General features: G+C 40.7%; 3 protein-coding genes across 3 annotated transcripts; 2 read left to right on the top strand and 1 right to left on the bottom strand.

Moving 5' to 3' along the window:
• Positions 1-936: 936 nt before the first annotated feature.
• On the bottom strand, positions 937-2851 carry DEFB105B (defensin beta 105B). The gene is made up of 3 exons (NM_001040703.3): positions 2740-2851; positions 2353-2394; positions 937-1103 (listed from the first exon to the last, which is right to left on the bottom strand). Exons 1-3 carry the CDS (start codon positions 2807-2809, stop codon positions 979-981), a joined length of 237 nt encoding a protein of 78 aa, NP_001035793.1. The 5' UTR covers positions 2810-2851; the 3' UTR covers positions 937-978.
• A 1278-nt stretch (positions 2852-4129) lies between these two features.
• DEFB106B (defensin beta 106B) lies at positions 4130-8026 on the top strand. The gene is made up of 2 exons (NM_001040704.2): positions 4130-4196; positions 7778-8026. The coding sequence occupies exons 1-2, from the start codon at positions 4148-4150 to the stop codon at positions 7924-7926; spliced, it is 198 nt and encodes a 65-aa protein (NP_001035794.1). The 5' UTR covers positions 4130-4147; the 3' UTR covers positions 7927-8026.
• A 7421-nt stretch (positions 8027-15447) lies between these two features.
• Positions 15448-20222, top strand: DEFB104B (defensin beta 104B). Its single transcript, NM_001040702.1, has 2 exons — positions 15448-15519; positions 20014-20222. The coding sequence occupies exons 1-2, from the start codon at positions 15462-15464 to the stop codon at positions 20172-20174; spliced, it is 219 nt and encodes a 72-aa protein (NP_001035792.1). The 5' UTR covers positions 15448-15461; the 3' UTR covers positions 20175-20222.

Here is a 25484-nt window from a genome sequence, read left to right as displayed (position 1 = left end):
TATTTTGTGAAGCTGGATTTTATTTCACAAGGCAAAATTAGACAGTCAACCATTTATGCATATTCTGTGTTGAACATTTTAAGTTAATCTCTAATCATTTTCTTTCACAGGTAAATACACCATAAGTACTAGAATCAATGAATGACAATATTTAGACAAACCAAGAAATAATGTGAATATAAAAATAATGTATTATATTTGATAGAATTATTATTCCATTAACATAGTTAGTACATATAGATGGATACATAAAACATGACAGCAATGTGCACAGCAGTTACTGGATCCTAGCTATGGCTCTGAAGAATTAACAGCCTCTTGAGCCTCAATATTTTCAAATATAAATGGCAGTAATAAAACCTACCTCATAAGGTAATCATGAGTCATATGAGAGAAGTATGGAAAATACTTCATAAATTGTAAGGTACTCTACATATACATAGTAGTGGTATCTGATTGAGCAGATACTAGGTACACACTCATGTCTTGATGTTTTTTAAAGGTCATCTCGCCCAGCATGGTGGCTCATGCCTATAATCCCAGCACTTTTGGAGGCCAAGGCGAGCAGATCACCTGAGGTCAGGAGATCGAGACCAGCCTTGCCAACATGGTGAAACCTCATCTCTAGTAAAAATACAAAAATTAGCCAGGCATGGCGGTATGCGCCTGTAGTCCCAGCTACTTGGGAGGCTGAAGCAGGAGAATTGCTTGAACCCGGGAGGTGGAGGTTGCAGTGAGCCAAGATCGAGCCACTGCACTCCAGCCTGGGCGACAGAGTGAGACTCCTTCTCAAAAAAAAAAAAAAGAAAAAAAGTCATCTTTAAAAAATAAGCAATAAAACGTAACAAAGGGAGAAAGAAATGAGAATGATTCTGAGACTCACTCACTGTGTGATTTGGATAAGCCACATAACTTCTCTTGAACTTCTTTGAATATCCAGGTCTGCTTCTAAGGCCAGAAGTGTGCTGGTCTGGTTTGTCAGATCCTCTGTCTGCAGCAGAGAAAGTTCAGCCTGCAATTTCCATCGGGCTTCTCATTCTCCAAGCACTCCTTCCTGCATTTTCCCCGACCAAGCTTGCACGACTCACAGACAGCAAACTCACCTGTGCCAAGAAAGAGCTGCTGAGGGAGCTTTCCAGGAAATGTCTAGAAATGGGGAACATGTCAAAGACCACCAAAAAAAAAGGGACAGTTCGTACGTATGATTACAAAGAATATTTTCAAGAATCAGCCCAGATTTTTCAAAAATAGTTTCTGCTTTTTGCAGTAGGGAGTTGGGGAGAGTTAATTTTTATGCAACAGATCATCGCAATTCCTACTCTCCAAGTGTTTATAATCTGGCAGGGATCAAAAGTAAACCACAGACAGACAAAGAGACATACATATTACAGAACTATAAAAATACATACCTGATATGACTGTGAAGTTTACTAGACAAAAAATGGGAGGGGTATATTGTGGTTTTTTAAAGATCCTTGAAGATCAACTCTAGTTTGGGCCTAGTAGCCGGCAGGTTAAGGTCCATATTCTCATTTGTCCAGTGGCCATTCTAGAAGCACCTGACTACATTTTTTAAATCAGTTTAGGGATCAAATGGAATATTATATGTAAATATTTTCATTATAATAATACCTACCACATAGGACTGTTTTGAGGATTACATGACAAAGTCCATGTAAAGTTTTTAGCAGGATGCCTGGTACAGAGCAAACACTCAAGGACTAGTAGCAACCTTCATATTTCTCACTTTGAAATTCTGTCTAAAACCATTTCAACTTTGTCTACAATATTTCTTTTAGTTTTGTTTACAATGTCCTTTCTTTCTGTATAAGATGACTTCAAAGAAAAAGAAAAGATCTGGGGGCTATTCGTTATGAATAGCTTTTCTGCAATGGTGCTGAGTTTTCACTGAGGCAACCTCACTCTTTAATTTGAGCTTCCTTCAACTAACCTCATGCATTTGTGACATATATTATTACCAGACTTAGCAGCAGAGCTTGCAAGAGATGGGCAGGCGTGTTCACAGAGCAGTGCTAATTGGCTGGTACAAGAATAAATCTAAGAACTTGGTTTAGTGAGCACCAACAGCTAATGGGAAAAGCCACTGAGTCCAAATCTCTATGGCCAAATTACAGTCCAGTCACAAAGATATTTTTCTGTGAAATCAAAAATATCCAAATATTATACTTGGAACAAGAGAAAGAGAAGGAGATAAGTTAGTGAACTGATTTTTCAGACAATTCTATTTCTGCCACTATCTCTGTCCCCTCTTTGCCTCCAGACATCAGAGAGACCTAACAGCGCCAGAGCTCCTAAGAGAAAAAATAATTATATACAAGAGATTTAACTTACCTGATGGAAATGGTTGGGAAAAATCAAGTCCTGCCTGGCACCCTAAATTCAAAACAAAATACATTTTGAAAATTAAAATCAACACAGGAATTAACACTGTATAAAACACTCCCAACTTCACATGTGACATAGCATAACAGGAGACAGTAGATCACAGAGTTGCAATCTTTATTCTGTTTCTCAAGGCCAGCATTCCAGGTAACCAGCAAAAACAAATTACAAAAAAAAAAAAATACACTATATGCTGTTTGCTCTTAGTAAATGTCACTGTAGGTCTAAGAAATTCCCATGACAGGTGCCATGAGAGCTTGACCATTAAGGTCAAACATGGAAGAATCAACAGGCTTTATAATCTGCCCAATCAAAATCCCATCCATTTTTACTTACCTGATGGCAGTTGAACCAAAATGAAGAACATAGCAAATAGAAAATAAAATGTCTTCCTGATCAGGGCCATCTTTTAGGGAAGACTCTTCGGAATAGAGATTGGGATTTCCTTGAGAAGACCCAAATGAGAGGCTCATTTTTATTTAAAAGTAATGGGGAGATGCTCTTGATCCGTGAAGTGAATCAATAAAACACAATTATATGCTCCATTTCCCAGGATAAAGGGATGATATCATGGATAATAACCCTTGGCATCCAGAAAGCCTTTTATTTTGGGGAGTCTAACTGGTGTAGTGGAAAGAACACCAGGCTAGAGGTTGAAAGAGCAGGGGCCATGTGAGTTTCCACCATACTAATGCAGGGGCCAGAAGATAGTGACCCCTTTCATCTCTTCCAGCTTCTGTTTTCTGGGAGAAAATAAGAACCCACTTGCAAATTCTGCCTGCCTCTAAAGGTGTTGTAAGAATCTAGTATGATTATAATGCAAAAGTGTTTTGAATATGTGGAATGCTTGGAAGGAGGCCTGGTACCATGTAAGAACTCAATAAATGTGGACTCTCACTTTTCTAGCTTTCATTTTTATTCTCTACAAGTATCACAGGGAGAAAAGGAGGGGTAGCAATCATTTTGTCAAGTTAGCTCTGAGTCCCCTTTCCTGTAAGATATCACCTCACGCACCAAAGCCATAATTACTGCATATTTTAAATTCATTAAGGACATGAATATTGGCCCAGATGGGTGGCTTATGTCTATTATCGTAGCTTTTGGGAGCCTAAGGCAGGTAGATTGCTTGAGCCCAGGTGTCTAGGGCAAGGCATGATGGTTACCAGCCCCTTGCTGCGCCAACAGTGCCATGGTACAGGTGAGCAGCATGGCAGGACCAAGCACGAAAAGCGTGCAGCATACAGCAAGATTCACATTTTTTAACAAATATATGCTTAGGTCAAGCCCTTTGCCAAGTTTACAAAGCTCAAAAAGACTGAATCTGGAATTCAGATTCCACCTCACTACGGTTCCTCAGCTCTTAACTGAAGCATTGAGATATTGTATAATTACTCCCATTTTACATATGAGTAAACCAAAGCTGTTCAGGAACACAGCCAGGATTAGAAACGAAACTACTGGACTCCAGATTTTTTTATTTTTTCTGTGTCTGCCCTACTCTGTCCTCCCTTCATCCCCACTTTCCTTCTTCAAAACTTTCCAGAATCAGAAATATGATGAGCTGTAGACTGAGTGACACCCACTGAGGTTGGGTGGGCTCTGTGCAGCAGAGCATGGAAATCCTCTCGTTTCTGCTAAGCCTCACTGATCAAGATGTTACTTGGTCTGGAGAAATGTATAAATGTGGGTGTTTGCGGCTCTTTCCTCATGGACACGGTGCTGATCTCTCAAGACCCACCCAGTCATGAGGACTTTCCTCTTTCTCTTTGCCGTGCTCTTCTTTCTGACCCCAGGTAAAATGGGCATCTTTACAGGGAAGGTGATCGGAGGTGGTGTCCCACAGACAGGGTCCCCTTCAGTGAATGCCTGGGCGTGATCAACCCATCTACTACAAGAGGTGATATCCCCCAACGCCTCTTCTGTAATTCCTTTGCATTTTACATTGTTATCTAGGAGGGGCTGTCACAGGTTTGAAAGAATAAAAGAAGGCCAGGAAAGATGCCTTTTGGCATCCCATCTCATGCTCACTAACAAAAACAAAAATTGAGAAAAAATTAAAAACAAGGATAGCAGTCTATGAACCTTTTAAAATGTAGTTATGGTAGAGATTGAGACAGGTAAGGAGAAGGGACAGGTAAGGATCTGAGCTTAGAGACACCTATGCACTCATGCCAGTCATGGCAACAGGTAAAGCAGCGTAACTTGGACTGCCATTTCTTGATCACATATCATCAAGCCAAGTACTGTGATGAGAGCTTCACATAAAATGCATCTAGTCTTCCAGTGCCAGCGCCTTTACGGAAAACTCTGTCTTACCCCTAATTTAATGGAAGTTAGAGAAAATCTTTTTGGGTTTGAAGGTCCATTTTACAAATTTTATTACAGATGCAGAAATTGTGCCTCAGATGGGCTCAGTGCTTCTCAGAGTCTTATAGATAACCAAAACAAAGCCAGGGTAGGAGCCCAACTGTCTTGCCACAGTAAGAGGCATTAAAGACACCCTTCCCATATCAAAACTCTCTTCATTTTCTCCTGCTCCTGGGAATCTCCAGTGGCTCCAATTGTATCCTCTTCAAAATTAAGGCTTAAGACCAGGCTCATGTGAGCCTCCAGAGAGCTGAAGAAAGGGATTCTCAGAGCCCACAGTAACTCCCAATTTGTGCCAGATACCAGTGATATACGATCCCAGGTATGATGCTCAACTTTTCACATCAGCTGCTCATAGCTCTGGTCTGTTTTGTGACAAGCCTGTGAGAGTAGATTCTGTGTCAAAACATGAGGATCTAGGACCCACAGTGACCTATGCCGTATTCAGGCCACTGGTTTTGATATGCACGTTCGAAACTGGCCAGAGGTATCTTTTTCAGATCACTCATACTTATTATATAATAAGTCAAAAAAAAGATGTTATATTCTATAAAATTATCTGTTAGATAATACTATAATTATAAAAGTATAATTAGTTACTATAATTATTATGTAATTACAGATACTTATCTATAATTACATAATGCTTGTTATATAATTATTAGATAATCTAATAATTACCTATTAGATATACTAGAGTATAATACTATAATACAATAGTATTAGAGAAAATCTTTTTGGTTTAGTTTAGTATTATAGTATAGCATAGTATATACTATAATTATTTACTGATGTTACAGTATGGTATTGTACTAGTATTATATACTATATAGTATTGTACTAGTATATATTTTATATATATATATATACATATTTTTTTTTTTTTTTGAGATAGAGTCTCACTCTGTTCCCCGGGCTGGAGTGCAGTTTCACAATCTCAGCTCACTGCAACCTCTGCCACCGGGGTTCATGCGATTCTCCTGCCTCAGCCTCCTGAGTAGCTGGGATTACAGGCATGTGCCACCTTGCCTGGCTAATTTTTTGTATTTTTAGTAGAGACGGGGTTTCACCGTGTTGGTCAGCCTGGTCTCGAACTCCTGACCTCGTGATCCACCCTCCTCAGCCTCCCAAAGTGCTGGGATTATAGGTGTGAGACACTGCACCTGGCCAGATACTATATTATACTAGTATATTATTACTAGTAGTATTATATACTAGTATGTAATATAGTATATATACTAGTATAATACTCTAGTATATAGCATAGTATACATACTAGTATAATACTCTAGTATATAGCATAGTATACATACTAGTATAATACTCTAGTATATAGTATAGTGTATATACTAGTATAATACACAAGTATATAGTATAGTGTATATACTAGTATAATACACTAGTATATAGTATAGTGTATATACTAGTACATACACTAGTATACAGTATAGTGTATATACTAGTATAATACTCTAGCATATAGTATAGTGTATTATACTAGTATAATACACTAGTATATAGTATAGTGTATATACTAGTATAATACACTAGTATATAGTATAGTGTATATACTAGTATAATACACTAATATATAGTATAGTATATATACTATTATAATACTCTAGTATATAGTATATATACTAGTATAATACTCTAGTATATAGTATAGTATATATACTGGTATGATAATATAGTATATATACTATATTATTACTAGTAGTATTATATACTAGTACATAGTATAGTGTACATACTAGTATAATACACTAGTATATAGTATAGTATACTAGTATAATACACTGGTATATAGTATATATACTACTATAACACACTAGTATATAGTATAGTATATATACTAGTATAATACTATAGTATACACTATTATACCAGTATATACTATAATACTAGTATTTTTATAGTATATACTAATCTATACTATGATACTATACTAAACCAAAAAGATTTTATCTGAATACCACACTATAGTCTATGGTATAGTATTATATTAGTATCTGCCTTACAGTAGGGCAGAGAGAACATAGACCCCTGCCAGTGAGAGCCAGAGTTCATCGAGCTTTGAAATAGTGGAGTATTTTCACTTATGAACTGATGTGCTGATCCTGGATAATCATTAGTGCATATGCTGGCACTAATCCACCTGGCTGTAAGTTTTATGTAGATTTGAATTAGGCACCTTTATATGTTGACATTAAATGTATATACATTATAGTATAGACATTAAATGCAATCTCTGTACATCTGATGCCTTCATTATATATACACAAATTGGGCAGCTCTAAAATGTTGATCCTGATAAGACGTGCTGTCTGTCCTTAACTTGAAGCAGGCTGCTCTTGGGACTGCTACTGATAAAGCCCTAAGGTGGGAACTGGAATTCTCCACAAAATGAACTGAGAAAATCTTAGAAAAACATTCCCAACATGCTGCACCCTCCTTCTCTAAAGCACAAGTTTTCCGCAGTCGTTGCTTTGGTGAATATGGAGGAGAAATCAGGCTGAGCCTTCCAAGCAAGTTTCTATCTACCACAGTAAACTCATTCTCTTTTTATATCTTTATCCCTTCCTTTGCTCTGGTCTGGAGCTATCTCCTCAGTCTCAGCTCTTGCTCTACTCTCACCAAGTAGCAGCCTCTGAGAGTGCACTAGGAAAATTAGCAGCCTCTGGGAGTGTTTATGGGAACAAGTTGATAATTATCCCCAACAGATTTCGATTAAAGAACCATAGCTTAGGGACGTTTCCCAAAGCTCCTACACAGCTTGGTCTCAAATGCTGGAAGACAAATGTATTCTTTCCGGTATTTCACCCTGTGTGACTATGAGACTGAAATATCAGATAAAAATCAGGTCCCCTACCATCTCATCTACCGGTAGGATATGGCACTATGACAGCTTGTGAAAAAATCTTCACCAAGTAGTCATACAACCGTATCTGGTAAACATACATGTCTGAAAAGGGAATTAATCCAAATGGCTCCTTCCCTCGTGTAGCCAAGAATGCATTTTTTGATGAGAAATGCAACAAACTTAAAGGGACATGCAAGAACAATTGCGGGAAAAATGAAGAACTTATTGCTCTCTGCCAGAAGTCTCTGAAATGCTGTCGGACCATCCAGCCATGTGGGAGCATTATAGATTAATGCAGAAGATTTAGGTTTCCAGAGAAGCATACATAACCTAGCTTCTTTTTACTCTTGCCTCTGCTGTAGGCAGACACTTTAATAAAAATAAATGACTGTCTTTGCTCAGTTTGTCAAGTGTTTCATTTAGAAAGGAGAACAACACTGCCTGACCTTGATGCTCCCTCCATCCCGGTTTATTTTTCTATCATTCTGGAGTAGACAAATCGTCCCAAAGCCATCTGAAATTTTTCTTAAAAGAGGACTAGAAGAGACTAGAAATCAACAAATCTCTAGCTTGTGCTCAGTCTAGTAAGTTGGCGCTTACTAACCTATTGACATGAAAGAAGTAAACAAAAGAAAATAAAGAAAAGAGAGAGGGAGGTGGAAAGAAGATGAATAGGTAGAGAAATGAGCACACTTTTTTTTAATACAAAACAAAATTTTATTCTTTTTTTTCTTTTTCTTTTTATTATACTTTAAGTTCTAGGGTACATGTGCACAATGTGCAGGTTTGTTACATATGTACACATGTGCCATGTTGGTGTGCTGCACCCATTAACTCATCATTTACATTAGGTATATCTCCTAATGCTATCCCTCCCCCCTCCCCCCTTCCCCCTCCCCCCACCCCACAACAGGCCCCGGTGTGTGATGTTCCCCTTCCTGTGTCCAAGTGTTCTCATTGTTCAATTCCCACCTATGAGTGAGAACATGTGGTGTTTGGTTTTTTGTCCTTGAAACTGGAAACCATCATTCTCATCAAACTATCGCAAGAGCACACTTTTTAAAAATTTTTACCATCATGCCATATGCCCACATAAATGAGCATACATTTACATGAATAGCTACATGAACGACAAATTGATGGATAGGCGGTCCATTTATCAAAGACTTTTATGTGTCACACACACACCTGTCTAAATTAGTCATCATGACCCCATGTCTTTAATTGGGGCTAGTTAAATATTTTCTATAGACTTGTTCTCTACACGTAAGTCTGAGATAAAATTTGCTGACAGGCAAGGGAGTCATAATTACCTCTATGAGTCTCAGTAACTCTAGTGATTTAGACCCTCTTCCCCAAATCACTGCCTACGATTTTCCTAGGAACTGGCTGACAGTTTACCTTCTGATTCTAAGCCTCAAAATTACTGTTATGGTGGGAATGTGTTCTTCCAAAATTAATGCTGAAGCCTAATCCCCACTCTGGTGATTAACAGATGAGGCCTTTGAGGAGGTGATTAAGCCTCAAGGGCCCTGCCCTCATGAATGGAATTAGCACCCTTATAAAAGAGGTTGAAAGAAACTGCCTTGCTCCTTCCACCATGGGAGGACACAGCGTTTGTCTCTTCTGCCATGTGAAGGCTGAGCAACAAGGTGCTATCTTGAAAGCACAAACTGGGTCCTCAGGATATAGTAAATCTTTTGAGGTCTTCCAGCCCCTAAAACTGTAAGTAATAAATTTCTATTGTTTATAAATCACCCAGCATAAGGTATTTTATTATAGCAGCATGAATGGACTGAGACAATTACTTAGTTTAAGTAAGAATTTCCTATCATGTTTCCAGTGCTCAAGAGTTAGTTTTGGTTTCCTGCTGGCTCAGAAATCTTGCCTTACCTCCCCTTTAATTTTTCAAAGTCGATAGATTTAATTCTATTAGAATCAATAACCCTTTCATGAAAAGGATGTTTTAGTTACACTTTCTAGTTTGAGGTAATTGTAGATTCCTCTACAGTTCCAAAAATAATAATAATAATGCAGAGAGATACCCAGATCTTTTACTCTATTTTCCTCAATAGTAACATCTTTGTAAAACCATAGTGCAATATCACAACCAGGTTATTGACACTGATGCATAACATTTCCATTATCAGGAGGACTTCTCATGTTACCCTTTCAGAGCCACTCTCTCTTCCCTCACACCTCCACCTCCGTCTTAACCCCTGTATAAGTGATTTATTCTCCATTTCTACAATTTTGTCCTTTTAGGAATGCCATATAAATAGAATGTATATATCCTTATTAGACTGGCTTTTTTCAGTCAGCATAACTTTCTGGGGATTCATCCAGGTTGTTGCATTTATCAATAGCTCTTTCCTTCTTATTGTTGGGCAGTATTCCAGGATACGGATGAACCACAGTTTGTTTAATCACTCCCTCATCGTAGGCCATCTCTCTCTCTCTCTCTCTCTCTCTCTCTCTCCCTCCCTCCCTCTTTTCCCCCACTTCATTGCCTCCTCTTCTCCTCTCTACCTCTCCTTCTCTTTCTCTTTTGCATAGGGATATCAATTGTTCAAGCACCATTTGTTGAGAAGACTATTCTTCCTCCATTATATTACCTTTGCTTCTTTGATAGAGAGGAGTTGCTTTGATCTTTTCTGAGCTATCCATTCTGTTCTGTTTCTCTGTTTGATCTATTTATTTATTGCTTCACCACTCCCACACTGCCTTCATCATTGCAGTTTTTTAGTGAGTCTTGATATAAGGTAGTGTAAGTTCACTGTATTAACCCATTTTCACATTGTTATAAATAAATATCCGAGATGGGGTAATTTATGAAGAAAAAGAGGTTTAATGGACTTACAGTTCCACACAGTTGGGGAGGTCTCACCATCATGACTCAAGGCAAAGGAGGAGCAAGGTATGTCTTACATGGTGACAGGAAAGACAGCGTGTGCAGGGGAACTGACCTTTATAAAACCATCAGATCTTGTGAGACTTACTCATTTTCATGAGAAAAGCACAGAAAAGAAACACCTCATGATTCATTTACTTCTCACCATGTCCCTCCCATGACTCATGGGGATTATGGGAGCAAGAACCCAAGATGAGATTTAGATGGGGACAGAAACCCTATCATCCACCAACCTTGTTCTTTCCGGTATTGTATTGACGATCCTAGGTCTTTTGAATCAGTATGGAAATGTCAACAACATATTTTGCTAAAAGTTTGACTGGGATTATATTTAATCTATAGGTCAAGTTGTAAATATTGACATCTTAACGTTAAATTCTCTATTATATGAACACAGAATATTTCTCTTGTTAAAATAATTAAATGAGAGGCCATTAGACTGCGGGAGCTTCAGTGCACTCGGTTTCTACATAAGCAAACTAAAACCCAACTCGGTTTGAATGGTAAAAGAAAACTTTAACCAATCAGAAACCACCAACTAACCTCTAACAAGGGAATGGAATGATTCGAATAAGGCTTATACTCCACCTTAACCAATTAGATGTTTAATTTGCCTTTCTTCCATTTTCACCCTATAAAAGCCTTTTCCTCGTGCCTCTTTGCGTGAGCCCCAAAAGACTTGTGTTTTGGAGCCTGCCCGATTCTTAAATTGATATCTGCTCAAAAGAAAACTCTAAGATTTTTATGTGCCTAAGTTTATTTTTTAATACTTCTGTTGTCAGAAGAGGGACCCAAAGAAGCCCTGATAATGGTTCCTGGGACAATGAGTAGCCAGATGTAGTTACCAGCTGAGCCGGTTTTACTCACCGCTTTCTCTCTGTGTCTGGATCCAGCAGAAACTGGACTGGGTCCAACAGAAGGTCTTAAGAAGGCAGGGTTTAGGGAAGACAAAGAATCATGAGTTCATCTGTATCCAGGTAGTCTGGAACCTCTCCATCTGGGACTCTAGCTACGTTCATGTATAAAAATTATGGACCCAGAACCTGTGTTTTTCTAAATAAATGTGTAAACTTTACTAAAGACAACTTAGAATTACACTGGTCACAGTGAAGAAATTTTAACCTAAACAGTTATTCATCTATAAGCTACATTGAAAGAGAAGTGATCTTAAATGCCTCAAAAAAATGAGATATGTTTTTAATTGGCATGCAGAAGCTTCTAAAAGACTAAGCAAATCAGAACTTGCCTTTCTTAAAGACTCTTTACAAAAGGCAAATTAAAAGCTTAAGCACTTAATCAGTGATGATAAAAAATTGCACATTGACTCACTCAACTCTCAATGCTCCTTCTTTTCCTCCTGTCTCTCTTCTTCCTCTGCCTAATTACTCTGATTCCACTACCCTCTTCACTCAGCTGCCTTTCTACTATGAAGATGAGAAGCAAGTTAGGAAAATGCCTTCTAAAGTTAGTTCCTCAGATCAACTGTGTCTGCCTTCTTTAATTACCTTTATGTCTTGGTCAAAATCCGAACTGACAGAAATAGTGAAAGACTTCCCTAACCCAAAGGAAAACCCCCAGGAATTTGCTGAGGAATTTAGAATCCTCATTTAAACATACAATCCATGACTTCCTGATCTTTGTCAATTTATCCACATGATACTGGGACCTGGTCAAGCCTGCAAATGGAGGCGATGGTTGAATGGGACTAACCTGAGGATGATATTAAGGATCTTATGTCTCAGACAGCTGCAAGGGATGAACAAAAAAGAGGCAGGGGAAAAGGAAGCATTCTATAATCTTATAAGTAAATCTCATCTTTACCTGAGCCTGTGTGTCCCTGCACTGTGACTGTCACAAGAACTTTTTTTTTTTTAAATCTCTGTCACCAGGCTGGAGTTCAGTGGCATGATCTTGGCTCACTTCAACCTCCTCCTCCCAGGTTCAGTGACTCTTCTGCCTCAGCGTCCCAAGTAGCTGGGACTACAGGTGTGTACCACCACACCTGGCTAATTTTTGTACTTTTTAAGTGGAGATGTGGTTTCACCATATTGGGCAGGCTGGTCTTGAACTTCTGACCTGGTGATCTGCCCACCTTGGCCTCCCAGAGTGCTGGGGTTACAAGCATGAGCCACCGTGCCCGGCTCTCAAGAAATTCTTAGCTACCCCCATCCCTCAAGTGAGACAGGAAGGTCAGATGGGGCTGGAATAGGGAAACGTCTTCCCCTCCAGGTGGGATATGGCTCGAGTAAAATTGTTTTTCCTGCAGAGGAGGAGGCTTTGGTTATGGGGAATCCTCTGGACATGTTTCACAATATCACTCTTCCCTTCTCCTTTCAGGGCAATGAGGGCTTCCATTCTGGCTCTTCACCATGATAACCTTGGGGGCTTCCTGGATTTAAAACCCAGGAAAGCAGGGGTTGAGAAGGGAGAGCCTTTGACCATGGTCTCTAGCAGTTTTTCACTCTCCTAAATGTCCACGTTCAGCCTCCAGCAAGTTGTCGAAGTCACCGTAAGTGTTCCTGCTAGTTTATGGTTTCAGAGCTTCCATTCCAGGTTAGCTCATCTCAGCTGTGACTCCAGATTTCCACGCAATGGGTTTGCCCGGAGCCCTCAGTTCCCTAATGGGTCCAAGAAAAGTCATTGATTTTTCCATTTATTTGGCTTTTTTTTTCTTTCTTTAAGGAGTAAAGTAGTTACTTTCAGTCTTTTTACTTGTAGCGACCGAAACCAGAACTCTGAAATACTTCATAAGGACTCAGCAAATAAAGCTTTTATTATTTTTTTCTCCTAAGAAGATATAGGATTTCTTTTGAAGTTTGGTTATTCAGTCCCTGTATATGAATTACCTTTTTTTTTTGAAGAATTGCTGAATATTTATTATCATCAGAATTTTTCAGTTTTCTTCAGAATCCTGGTCACATAGATGACCTTGAATATTGGCTGATGTTTTTCCCTTGAAGCTCATCATCAAAAATTACTAAAGCCTGACATGTGGCAGGCTAGGAGGGTCCCATGGATCCTGCACATTTGTGCTTGCTGTGTGTCTGCTGTGAGGAGAGTATCCGACGGCCTCTACGTGCTGCACGTTTGTAACCTGCGGCAGGATTCCCATGGCTACCACTCTTGCCCTGGCTGCTTCCAGGCAGTGAATGAGCACAATGTGGACTAGAGCTGGGCCATGTCTGCTGGTGTAGGACAGTCTTTGCCCTGGGGTTCCCCACTGGCAATGCTGAAATTTTCTGCACTGTAGTCTGAGGCTCCCCCGACTCCAAACCTTTTCACAGGTGTTAATTGACGTCATGTTCTGAAGACTTTCCCTACTCAATCTTGCTCCCTCTCCCCATCATCTTTTTGTTTTGAATTTTTATTTTATTTTATTTTTTTCAGAGACAAGGTTTTGCTGTATTGCCTACTACACTGGAGTGCAGTAGTGCCATCATAGCTTACTGCAACCTCGAACTTCCGGGCTCAAGAGACCCCCCTGCCTCAGCCTCCCAAGTAGCTGGGACTACAGGGACACACCACCATCCCTGGCTAATTTTCTTTTTGTGTAGAGTCGGGGTCTCTCTATGCCGTCCATGATGGACTCAAACCCCTGAGCTCACATGATCCTCCTCCCTCGCTCAGCCTCCCCAAGTGCTGAGATTTACAGGTGTGAGCCACTGCGCCTGGCCCCCCTTTATCTTTCACAGGCATTTCCCAATAAATTTATTTCCTTTCTAATTCCTGTTGATAAATGCTTCATGGAGCACCCAAACTGGCATAGTTTATGATTTCTGATGTTCTATTCTATTCCGTTACTGTGAAAGGAGACCTGGTTTTCCATCACATTCTCCCCTAAGTGAGAACTCTGGGGAAGACACACTGACTGCTAGATTTTGCTTAGGATGTGCAAGCAACGTATGTCTGTCAGGCTTTGTCTAATCTGTGTTCTAGAATAAGGGGAGCTTATTCGAGAATGTCAACTTCCAAGATTGGACGTTTTTACTTTCTCTAAAATATTTCATTTTAGAGAAATGAAGTATTTTTTTTTTTCTTAAAATAAAATTATCTGGTGTTTTCCCTAAGGGCAAATGCCAGGAGCATATGCTCTATATGTTTTGCCTCGGGTGGGGTTGGGGTTAAATCCAGGGAGCATATACCCCTGGTTGAGGGCCAGGCGTATGCTCTCTGGAAGGTTATGTTTTATTTGAAGCCATTGTTAGAAATACAGCATTCCCATGAATTGTCTCCTTTTAACCTCTCTTCTCATTCTTGTCCTCCTTTTCACCTAAGCCCTAAGTGAGCCTGATGCTCTGTGGTTACAATCCCACCCTTGGACAATGCCCGCCATCAAGTATTCCTTGTTGTCACTTGTCATCCTCATCCTATACTTTTTCTATCACAGAAATGTGCTGGGACTTTTCACGCATTTATGACCTCCCCACGCTCCATGCCATTCTTCTCCTTGACGTTGTATGTTTGTTTCAATGTTTACTTCAGAGAGGTCTTGGGGGCTATGGACTTCAATTCCATTAGCCACATCACAGTTTTCAACAAGAATCTCCTGACTGAAATGTACTGAAATGGAAGAGAAAGTCCTCTCACCAGAATTGAGGAATGTCAAGGCTGGAAGGTATCTTAGAGATCATCTAATCCAGTTCTTGCTTCAGAAACGATTCGGGGAAGCAAGTGAAGTGACTTGGACTTTACCTATGGTAATACTGTCTCCCCACCCTCAACACTGCCCAGCTGGCATTTCTGTAGCCCCAACACCTCCCCCACACTGTGCCTTGGTGAGTCTTCACCAAGGAACGCTGCATTTTGATAAGCCTCAGTAATCAAGAGCAGCCTCTGCCCATAAATACACCTGCCCTGCTCCTGCCTGGGGTGATTCCCTCCGACTTGCGTCTGCTTCTCGCCAGCAGCCCCAGCATTATGCAGAGACTTGTGCTGCTATTAGCCATTTCTCTTCTACTCTATCAAGATCTTCCAGGTAAAAAGGGACTCTCAGCTGGAAATATACACAGTTGCTGGGGATGACAGGGGGAGAAGAAAAACATTTGATTTAGAAAATAAATCCTGAAGGATGGAGTAACCTTCTTCAATCTCAGCCTTTTTTCTCTTTGCTTTCATTGGGTCCATTAGTAAAATGCAGTATGTGGCAATCCTTGTATGCACCTTACAGCCATGAGGCTTACTAGCTCAAGGAGGAAAAAAGAAACGTAGGGATCAGGAGTCCTAGATGTCCTTGGCACCCTGGCCACACACGGTAACAATTCCTCATGGAATCCTCAGCAGTGAGGACTCACTAGCCATGCTTGTTCCATTGCAGGGCAGCAGCAATTATTCATTGTTGATTTTGTAGAATAAGATGCCTTCTCCCATCCTCCTCCTTCTGAACAGCTTTACTCTGCACAGAAAGGGCGCCTACTCATCCTCCTAAATTTTGCAACTTTTCATATCAAGTCAGATGATTAGGATTAAAGGGGATGCAGTGATTTCAGTAGGCAAGAACGTAATTTACTGACAACACAAATAGCAGGTGCCTTTGAACTCTGCTCAGGAAATTTTAGACTGAGATGTCAGCAATCTTCTGACTCCTACGTTAATCTATGTCCCCAGAAGCATGTATTTCTTAATATATTTGCAATGGATATGAGTGAGCACCTAATCTAATTCCCTTCTTTTACAAGCTGAGCAGCATTCTCTATAGTACAGTGAGAGAAAATAAGATTTTTAGAGTTGCTTAACAAGTCTAGCAGTGCTGGGACGAAACCAATTGTTTTGACTCGTAGAAGCCATCGGATCTTCTCTTCCAAGCTGCTCAGTCAATTTTATGGGGCTTTGACAGACACCCAGCACCCATCTTTTTACCCTTCCAGGCTGTGCCTCCACTGTGATTCAGATGGGTTAATGATTTTTTTTCAGAGGGTACCTGTTTAGGTTAACTCTTCCTTTTTCTTTCTTCCCGTGTCATTTCCCAAAGACACTTCTGTGAAATTCTGCTATGAGCATGTTCCAGGTCTGTTAAAATATGATAGCAATTTATCAAAGAACAGGTTTTCTTCAACCTTTGATCCCAAGACAAAGAACTTGGGATGGAAAGCCTGGGTCAGGGATCCCTCCAGATCCCGAAGAATGCACCGCAGAGCTGGCTGCCATTATCCACACTTGGCTGCTGAGGGCTGGGTCAGACTGTCCTCTGCAGTTGAATTCTGAGAAAGACCATTAGCAGGAAGAGGATTAGGGAGGGAAGTGGCAGAAGTGGGTGAGGGTGAATGACATGCGCTGCCTGCCTCTTCTCCTGCCACCCCTGCTTTGGGTAAGTTTGGCTGTCACACACTGTCAGCCCCTCAGATACCCACAGGGACTGGGGATGGGTGCTGTCAACCAAAAATAAAATTCTAAGCCCCCTCCCCAACCATCTAAATGGACTCCCTCCTCAGCCAGGGCTCTTAAAATTTAATCTGAAAGACTGCTTCAGGCCATGAAAGGAAGTGGGGGTTGGACATGCCTCATTACACTTTCCATCATGAACATCAACACAGACTTTAAGTGTGATAAGAAACATTTTACAGCCTGTTCTCTCTGAAGCCTGCTAGCTAAAAGCATCAACTGCATGATACAACTTTGGCCTCCACAATACAACCTCTTGTCGCAACCCAAACATTCCTGTCTATTGATCCCAGGTCTTTAGACAAACTCAATCAATTGTCAACCAGAAAATGTTTAAATTTACCTATAGCCTGGAAGGCCACCTGCCACACACTCCCACTGCACCCCCACAGGCCCCCCGCCACCCCCACTTTGAATTGTCCCACCTTTCTGGACCAAACCAATGTAAATCAGCCAGGTGTAGTGGCTCACACCTGTAATCTCAGCATTTTGGGAGGCTGAGGTCTGCAGATCACTTGAGGTCAGGAGTTCGAGACTGGCCTGGCCAACACGGTGAAACCTCGTCTCTACTAAAAATACAAAAATTAGCTGGGTGTGGTGGTGCATGTCTGTAATTCCAGCTGCTCAGGAGGCGGAGGCAGGAGAATCGCTTGAACCCAAGAGGTGGAGGTTGCAGTGAGCTGAGATCGTGCCATTGCACTCTACCCTAGGCGACAGAGCAAGACTGTGTCTCAAAAAAAACCAAACAAACAAACAAACAAACAAAAAAAACAAAGCAAATCTTACACGTATTGATTGATGTATTATGTCTCCCTAAAATGTATAAAACCAAGCAAGCTGTATCACAACCACCTTGGGCACATGTCCTCAGGACCTCCTGAGGTTGTGTCACAGGTGTGTCCTCAACCTTGACAAAATAAACTTTCTACATTAACTAAGACCTGAGACCTGCCTAAGATTTTCTGGGTCTGTAGAGCAGAGGAGGAAAATTGCTTATGCAAGAAAGAAACTAGTGTAGTGTAGTCTACCCTGGAATGTATTTATTGCTTAGGAAATGTTTATTACTCAGCCTTAGTGTATGGACTGCATTCTCCCTTTTGCATTCTGTTTACTGAGACTGTAAGACATACCAACTAGGTTTCTGTTCCAGCTTTGACACATAAGTTGCTGTGTGACGTCAGATTAGTCACTTTCCTTCTCTGAGCCTTCATTCCCATCTCTAAATAGATGGCCTGTGAGGGCTTGTTTGAAACTGACAGTCTAACATTTTAAAGGTTGGGTTCTCTTCCTAGTCTATTCTCCTTCTCCCCTAACGCTAAGCTTCGTTTTCCCTGAGCAAGCATGCTGTCCTCTTTTTCCTCCTCTAACTCCAGGTTGTAAAGCGACCTGCCACAGATATGTCAGAAGGCACATATCTGCTACTCAACCTCCACCTACTCCCTCAGCATGATACACACTGCAGCCCACCTCACTCCTTTCTTCATTGCCTTGTACTGTGACCACAGGGGCTTGCTTTTGAATGAAGCCTACAGCAAAACAGTCTTTCCTCATCACCCGCTGTGGGGCCATTCCAAATATTAACCCCTTCAATATCCTATCCAGCACATGAATTGGTCAAACTGCCTTTTAGTCCTCACCTACATCCTGGACAAAGAACCTTGATACCTAAGCATCAGAAACAGGAGGCTTCTCTTTACCAGAACAAATGAAAGACATAAAACCCTGGTGCGAGGATTAGCAGCCCGTTTCTGCTTTGTAGAAAAGGAACAGATGCAACAGGGGAGAAGGACTTAAGGCTAAGATGAAATTAGGACTCTTGGGCCCCGACCTCTGCAAAGAGGTCCATTTGCAGCCCTGACTCTCCTCTCCCCAGGGTTCTTCTGACACCCTCTCCCAAGCCTGGCTCCTGCTGAGTTTGCTAGAGAACCTCTAGCAAAGCTCTCTCCAGCGAGACTCTCTCGGTCCACCTTACGCTGTCCTCCCTACCATCAGCCTTGCTTCTGGGTTTTCCTGATATCTCTGTAAGATCCTATCAGTGTGGCATGTGAGATAATGAGTTTTACAAAGCTGCTTTCAGCCTCAGAGAGCGCACCCTGAGACTGAGAAGCTAAGTCCATGTCTCCTGAAAACTGCTCTGGGCCAACGGCCGAACAATCAGGATTCTGCTCCTTTCTAGTTTCCTCCTCTCTACTTGCAACCACTCTAGTTTATTCTGGTCTAGTCTATCCAATCATTTACTCACCACGTCCTTATTGAGAACAGGCTATGTTCCTGGTAGCAGTTACACAATGGTAAGCAACATAAACATGGGCCTCATTGTCAGGGAGCTCATAGTTCGAATGAGAATAGCAAATAACAAAATATACATACATATATACATATCTATATCTATGTCTATGTTTGTATGTATCTCTCTCTATATATGTGTATATATATATACCTATATAGATACATAGATATATAACTACAACTTGCGATAGGTGATATAAAAGAATAACAAATGCATAGGGAGAAAAATACTTTTGGGGCATTTGAATACACGAAGAGGACAGAGAAAGATTTGCCCAATATTGGGAACTTAAGGTTGAGACATAAAAGTTCAAAGAATTCACTTATGGGAAGGAAGAAAAACCTTCCAGGCAGAGGGGACAGTGCACGTGAAGGTACCAGGATAGCAAAGAGTAAGCTCACACGGAACAGAAGGGAAGCCGGCGAGAGTTTCATGGACAGAGTGAGGGCCACAGTGGAAAAGCATGAGTCTGAAAAAGTGGCCCAAGATCAGATCACGATTGCTTTGGAGACCAAGTAAGGGGCTTGGAGAGATTTAATAAAGAAAACAATAGTAAACTTGTAGGGATTTTGAAAATAAGTGTGACATGGAATGATGTACATTTTCAAATAAAATCCATGCTGGTTGGGAATCAGAAGGTCAAGTCAATCATCTAGGAAAGTGGAGGAGGATGGGGGTCCAGGAAAACCTCTACCACCATGCACTAGCATTCTCTACCCCCCTCCGAAAACACCTTCTACCAAAGCCTTGCCTTTTGGTGCCAGTAAGCAATTAATGACAGTGCCATATCCTGTTATCTAGTGAGAAGCGAATTTGAATTGGACAGAATATGTGGTTATGGGACTGCCCGTTGCCGGAAGAAATGTCGCAGCCAAGAATACAGAATTGGAAGATGTCCCAACACCTATGCATGCTGTTTGAGAAAATGGGATGAGAGCTTACTGAATCGTACAAAACCCTGAAACGCAGTAGTGCTGGTCCCTAGAGTCGCTGGAAGTAGGACCTCAGTAGCTTTCCTTCCTGCGGCCTAGCAGCAAGGGCATCCCCATTGCAACCACGGGTTCAGTTATCAAAGAAGGTTTGCTGAGCTTCCACTCAATGCAAAGCCAATATAGGAGATTGAAGAAGAATACAGGCTGGAAAGCCGCCTCTGGTTGTGATAATGGAGAATAACAATGGGAGTTAAGCATGAGTTTCAACACTTTATAAGTTGAACAAAAAATATGTCTACCTAATCAGCTATAAACCTAAGAAAAACATCATTTTTATCCTGATAATATTGGTTTTCTTTTCCGATCGAAAGTTTTGCTCAGGAGTTATATATATCGTGTGTTAATTAAAATGTAAAGTAAATCAATGTTAAGTGTGCCTTGTTTAGAATACACTATATTTCAAAACATAGACCTCTGAGGAGAAAAACAAAAGAGGTGATGTGTGATGACAAGCTTGGGAACCCATTGGAGCTTAAGGGGTTGATCAAGTGGGCGTCTGTGGAGGGTCCCATCCAGCAGAGGGCAGCAGAGAGCAGCCCTGCGCTGAGCTGTGGATTCTTGATCCTGAAAACCTGTAAAGAAAGGTGAGTGATGAAACATTTGACCTGCCTGCCTTTCCTGTCCAAACCAAATTTTAAGGTAGTCAAAAGCTTCTCTCTTCGAAAGCAGTCCAGCTAATAAATGAGGAGTGTCGCCATTTTGCAAACACATAGGGAAACAGGGATCTAGCCAAGGAATGTCAACAGCGATTAAAATAAGCCAGAAAGACAACCTGCTACCCTGTGCTTCCTAATAGAAGGACATAATGCCACGTACGAGCTTCTAGTCATGGTAAGCAGCATCATCCTCACCTTGTCAGGGTGGAAACTGAGGCTGCATTGTGCCCTTTCTACCAAAACAGTGTAATGGCCCTTCGCGTAGGCATCGCCCAGCCTCAATATGTGGTTAGTCTTGTTTCATCCCTTGATAACTCTCTCCTAGATTATCTCAAATAAAAATAAATTATTTCAAAGGTGCCCATTTGAAAATACTCTAGAAGGTGTAACTCAGGGGGAAAGAACTCGTTTTGTAAAATAGAACCCCAATACTATTATCACCCCTGGAAAAAATCAGCATTCATTCCTAAATACAATTTAACAGCCAATCTGTATTCAAATGACCCTGAGCATTTCATAAGTGCCTTTTTAAGAGTTGATTTATTAGAATCTGGATCCTGGAAGGTCCACATACTGCCTCAGGTTGTTTACCTCCAAGGCCTCTTGCACAGATGGTGATGTGTACTTCTATTCCATCTATAAAATATTGTGCTGAAAATTGAGTGCATATCTGGGCAAGCCCCTAGGTCTCAACACTGCAATTACAGGAAAAGAAGAAACTACTGAACCACCCCCAAGGATGCCACACTCCAAATGCAACATACAGAACACGCTATAAGACAATGTGACATTTATTTTAGTCTTACATTTTTTTAGACTCTTTTCATTATTCTCATATTTTGTATTTTATAAAATACTTTTAATACATAATCTCCTTTGATCCTCACCATAAACTCTTGAATTAGGCATGGTAAGTGTCAACATCCTCACCTTTTAGGCACTGTTACTAAGGTTCAGACGGATTAGTGGTTTTCCTAACACTGGCCACGATATTAGGCAAGACCAGGCCTAGACCCCACATCTCAAGTGCAGTTCAGAGGCAGCACAGCATGGCATGTACAAATACGCAAAGCCTGGAATCCCAGCTCTACTGCTTAGCAGGGGACCTTGGGAAGGTGACTTATTTGACTTGTACCTTGATTTCCCCTCCTGCCGTATGGCCATTCTGCCCAACAACACTTACAAACAGAGATCCAACTGCTGACCCTGTGCTACAATTATTTTTTGTCTCCTTTTAAAATGTAATTTGATGCCTTGCCAAGGAGGCCATCTTGTACCTCCCAATGTAAATATAGAGCAAAGCAAGGGACTTCTACAGACTTTAATCAACGCCACCCGCCGTAGTGGCCAGAGAGACAAGAACAAGCAGAAAGCAAAGCTATCTCATTGTCAGATAACGTAGAAAGCCTTGTATCGTGGTCTTCACTGAAGAGCCCTGGGTTTGGCTTGCCGTCCTGGTGTCCTATTGTTTTGCTCTCTAAAGAGGCTGGATTCTGAAACAGCGCCCCCTCCCGCCCTCAGGTGTAATTCACATAGTCATATTAATGAACTGCTATCCTCAGCACTTAACGACATCACAAAGTCGCACTACTTTAATTTCAGGGCTTTACAGTAAAAGAACAAAGATAGATTGTTCTATTTTATTGTTTCCAGAATTGGCAGGAAATATTTAATAATTTGTACCTGATGCACTACAAACACAATCAGAAACCCAATAACATTGCTACTTATCTTCTATCTCCAAAGGATGGATACAGATCTGAAGTCTGTAGTTCATAATGAATGATCAGTAACCCTTTGAAATGTGCCTAATGAAAATCAACAGAAGGAAGGATTGTTTGGATATTTTTCACTTTTTAATTTATGCGTTTTTTATTATTTGAAGTTGAGAGAGAGAGACAGAGATTGACAGAGAAAATCTCTGGGTGAGCAAATCACCACCCAGGTCCTTATTTAAATATCCAAAAGAGCAGAACTTGAAATTTTCAACGTGCAGGAGTTAAGGTTTTCCACACTGGCATATTCTCTTTCTTGCCTCCCAAGAGACATCCCATTAAATCCTGGAAAATATGACTGTGTAAAGGGGAAACATATTGCAGCCAAGTCTGTGCTCAGAAGTTGCTATAGAATCAACTTTCTCTTGCATTACCACATGACCCAAAGAAAATTAGCCTGGAAGAGTCTCACAGGTGAGTGAAGCAGAGATTCCTATGTAGATTTTCTTATCCCTGAATTTTAGATTGTGATATGTCCACAAGGACTGCTGGGACCTCAGTTTCATAGGCACAGAGGGCCCTGTGGGTAAAAATAGGTGGGGTCCTGAGTCTTCCCAACATGACAAAGTCAAAGACAGACACATGGTGAGTGGTAGAGCTGCCTTTGTGGCTGAATCCGAGAGAAAAAAATGGTCAACCTCTGAGGACTGGGAAGGGGCTGAAATGCTTTCCAGTTATGAGAAATTACACCCAAAATAATAAAAGCATCATGGCACCGTGGAGAAAAGATACTATTCCCGTGAAAAACTACATTTCTTCTTATGTCTGTGACCACCATGAACTCCTGCTCTTCCCCAAACAAATCTGTTGCCTTTCCCTTTAACTTTGAGCACCCCTTTGTTTATTTACATGGACTCCATTCTGTTAATAGTGTCTGCAGTGCATAGCCTCCTCCAGATCTTTAGTCTTTAATTAACACATATAGACACATCGCTTTTTCACTCATCCTCCATTTCCTCTTCTTAAAATATTGGTTAGGTCTCTAAGACAGTTTTCAGTTCCAAAATGTTATGATTGTTTCGTCAGAATTGCCAACCTCGGCCAGGCAGGGTGGCTCACGCCTGTAATCCCAGCACTTTGGGAGGCAGAGGCGGGAGGATCACTTGAGGTCAGGAGTTCAAGACCAGCCTGGCCAACATGGTGAAAACCCGATCTCTACTAAAAATACAAAAATTAGCTGGGCGCGGTGGCAGGCACCTGTAATCCCAGCTACTCAGGAGGCTGAGGCAGGAGAGTCGCTTGAACCCGGGAGGCGGAGGTTGCAGTGAGCTGAGATGGCGCCGCTGCACTCCAGCTTGGGCAACTATGCCAGACTCCGTCTCAAGAAAAAGAATAGGCAATCTCAACAGATTTATTTAAACTTATAACAATACCATGTTTTTATTGCCAAAACTAAATGGTGTTTATGCCTTAGCGCTCATGAAAGGATTTCCTGTGTTCTTTCATATGCTGCCTTAAGAGCATTCTTGGGATGGCTGAAATGGCTACAGATCAAATCGACTTCTGAAAACACAATTCATTTTGTGATTCTGTGCATGAAAAAGAAACAAAATACCAAAGAATATTTTTGCACAATTCTCAAAGCTACTTCTTTAACCACGATCCAAAAGCAGTTTTCTCTCCTATCATGTAATTCTTCCTGACTGCTTTTTCCAAAGAAGACTCTAATATTTGTGTCTTTTCCATATATCAGTTATTTTCCCTAGAGGGGAATCTGTGCCTCTGTTAAATGGCATTCTAGTTGGTCTTACAGACTGGTTAGCATGTTACAATCTCAGACTTAAGAATAAGAAAATCTGCATAGGAATCTTTGCTTCGCTCTTCTGTGAGTCTCCTCCAGAGAAACTTTCACTGGGTCATTTAGTAATGCAAAAGAAGAGTCTAAATTTGATTCTGCAGAGAACTTCTGATTCCAAACTGGGCTACAATAGGGTTTTCCTTCTCGCATTCATATTTTCCAGGATTTACCAGGATGCTACTTGGGAAGCAAGAAGGAGGATGTGCCGATGTGGAAAATCTTACCCCCTGCACATGTGTGCAATTTCCAATAAGATCCTTCAGGAATATGTATTTGCAGAACTTCTTATTTGACAATAAAATCTTGATCATTTTACTTTAGCCCACCTACTTAGTCCAAACGAATCAAGATACCACATACTAAGCAGCTTAAAAAAAAAAGAATATGATTTATTGATTGAATGGACCAAAAAAAACTTGAAACAATTATTAGAATATTCTATAATGGGTTCTGCCATCCTCCCCCTCAGGATGGATGTGGCTTTTAGCAAGAGAATTATTCAAAGATTTTTTTAGGACACAGAAATCTGGCAGAAGAGGACAGGAGCTGAGAGCATTGTTGTGTTAGGACAGATGTAACATTAATTGCCTTTATTACGACTTCACCAGCTTTTGCCTGTCAAAGAGCAGAACTAGGCTTTCCCGGCTGCTCTTTTTTAAGATTGTTCTTTTCAGAAGCATGGAAGAGGGGGCTTACTTTATCTCAAGACGTAGACAAAGGAAGTGAGATCTAACTATTTTTGGCTCAGTTTCTTCATTTAAATAATTTCAAATAATTCTAACGACTTCAAAGAAGATTCCGTTACCTGGGTGGTAATTACTCAAATGCTGTTATATTTTAAGTCATGATTTTGATTAATGATTCATTACTATTAATATCTGAATGGTGGAATAGGCTTGTTTTTGTTTTCTTTCCTTTTATAGAGAAGATAAAAATATATAGAAATAAGTTACCAATATACTCCAAAATTTCCATCACTGTTATAAAAGATCCACATTCCAAGTTTAAATAATTACAAATACAACTGTAAGAAGTTGCTATTGAACTAGAG

Source organism: Homo sapiens, chromosome 8 (assembly GCF_000001405.40).
Source record: "Homo sapiens chromosome 8, GRCh38.p14 Primary Assembly".
Lineage (NCBI taxonomy): Eukaryota > Metazoa > Chordata > Mammalia > Primates > Hominidae > Homo > Homo sapiens.
This window is presented reverse-complemented; position numbering and strand designations above follow the sequence as displayed.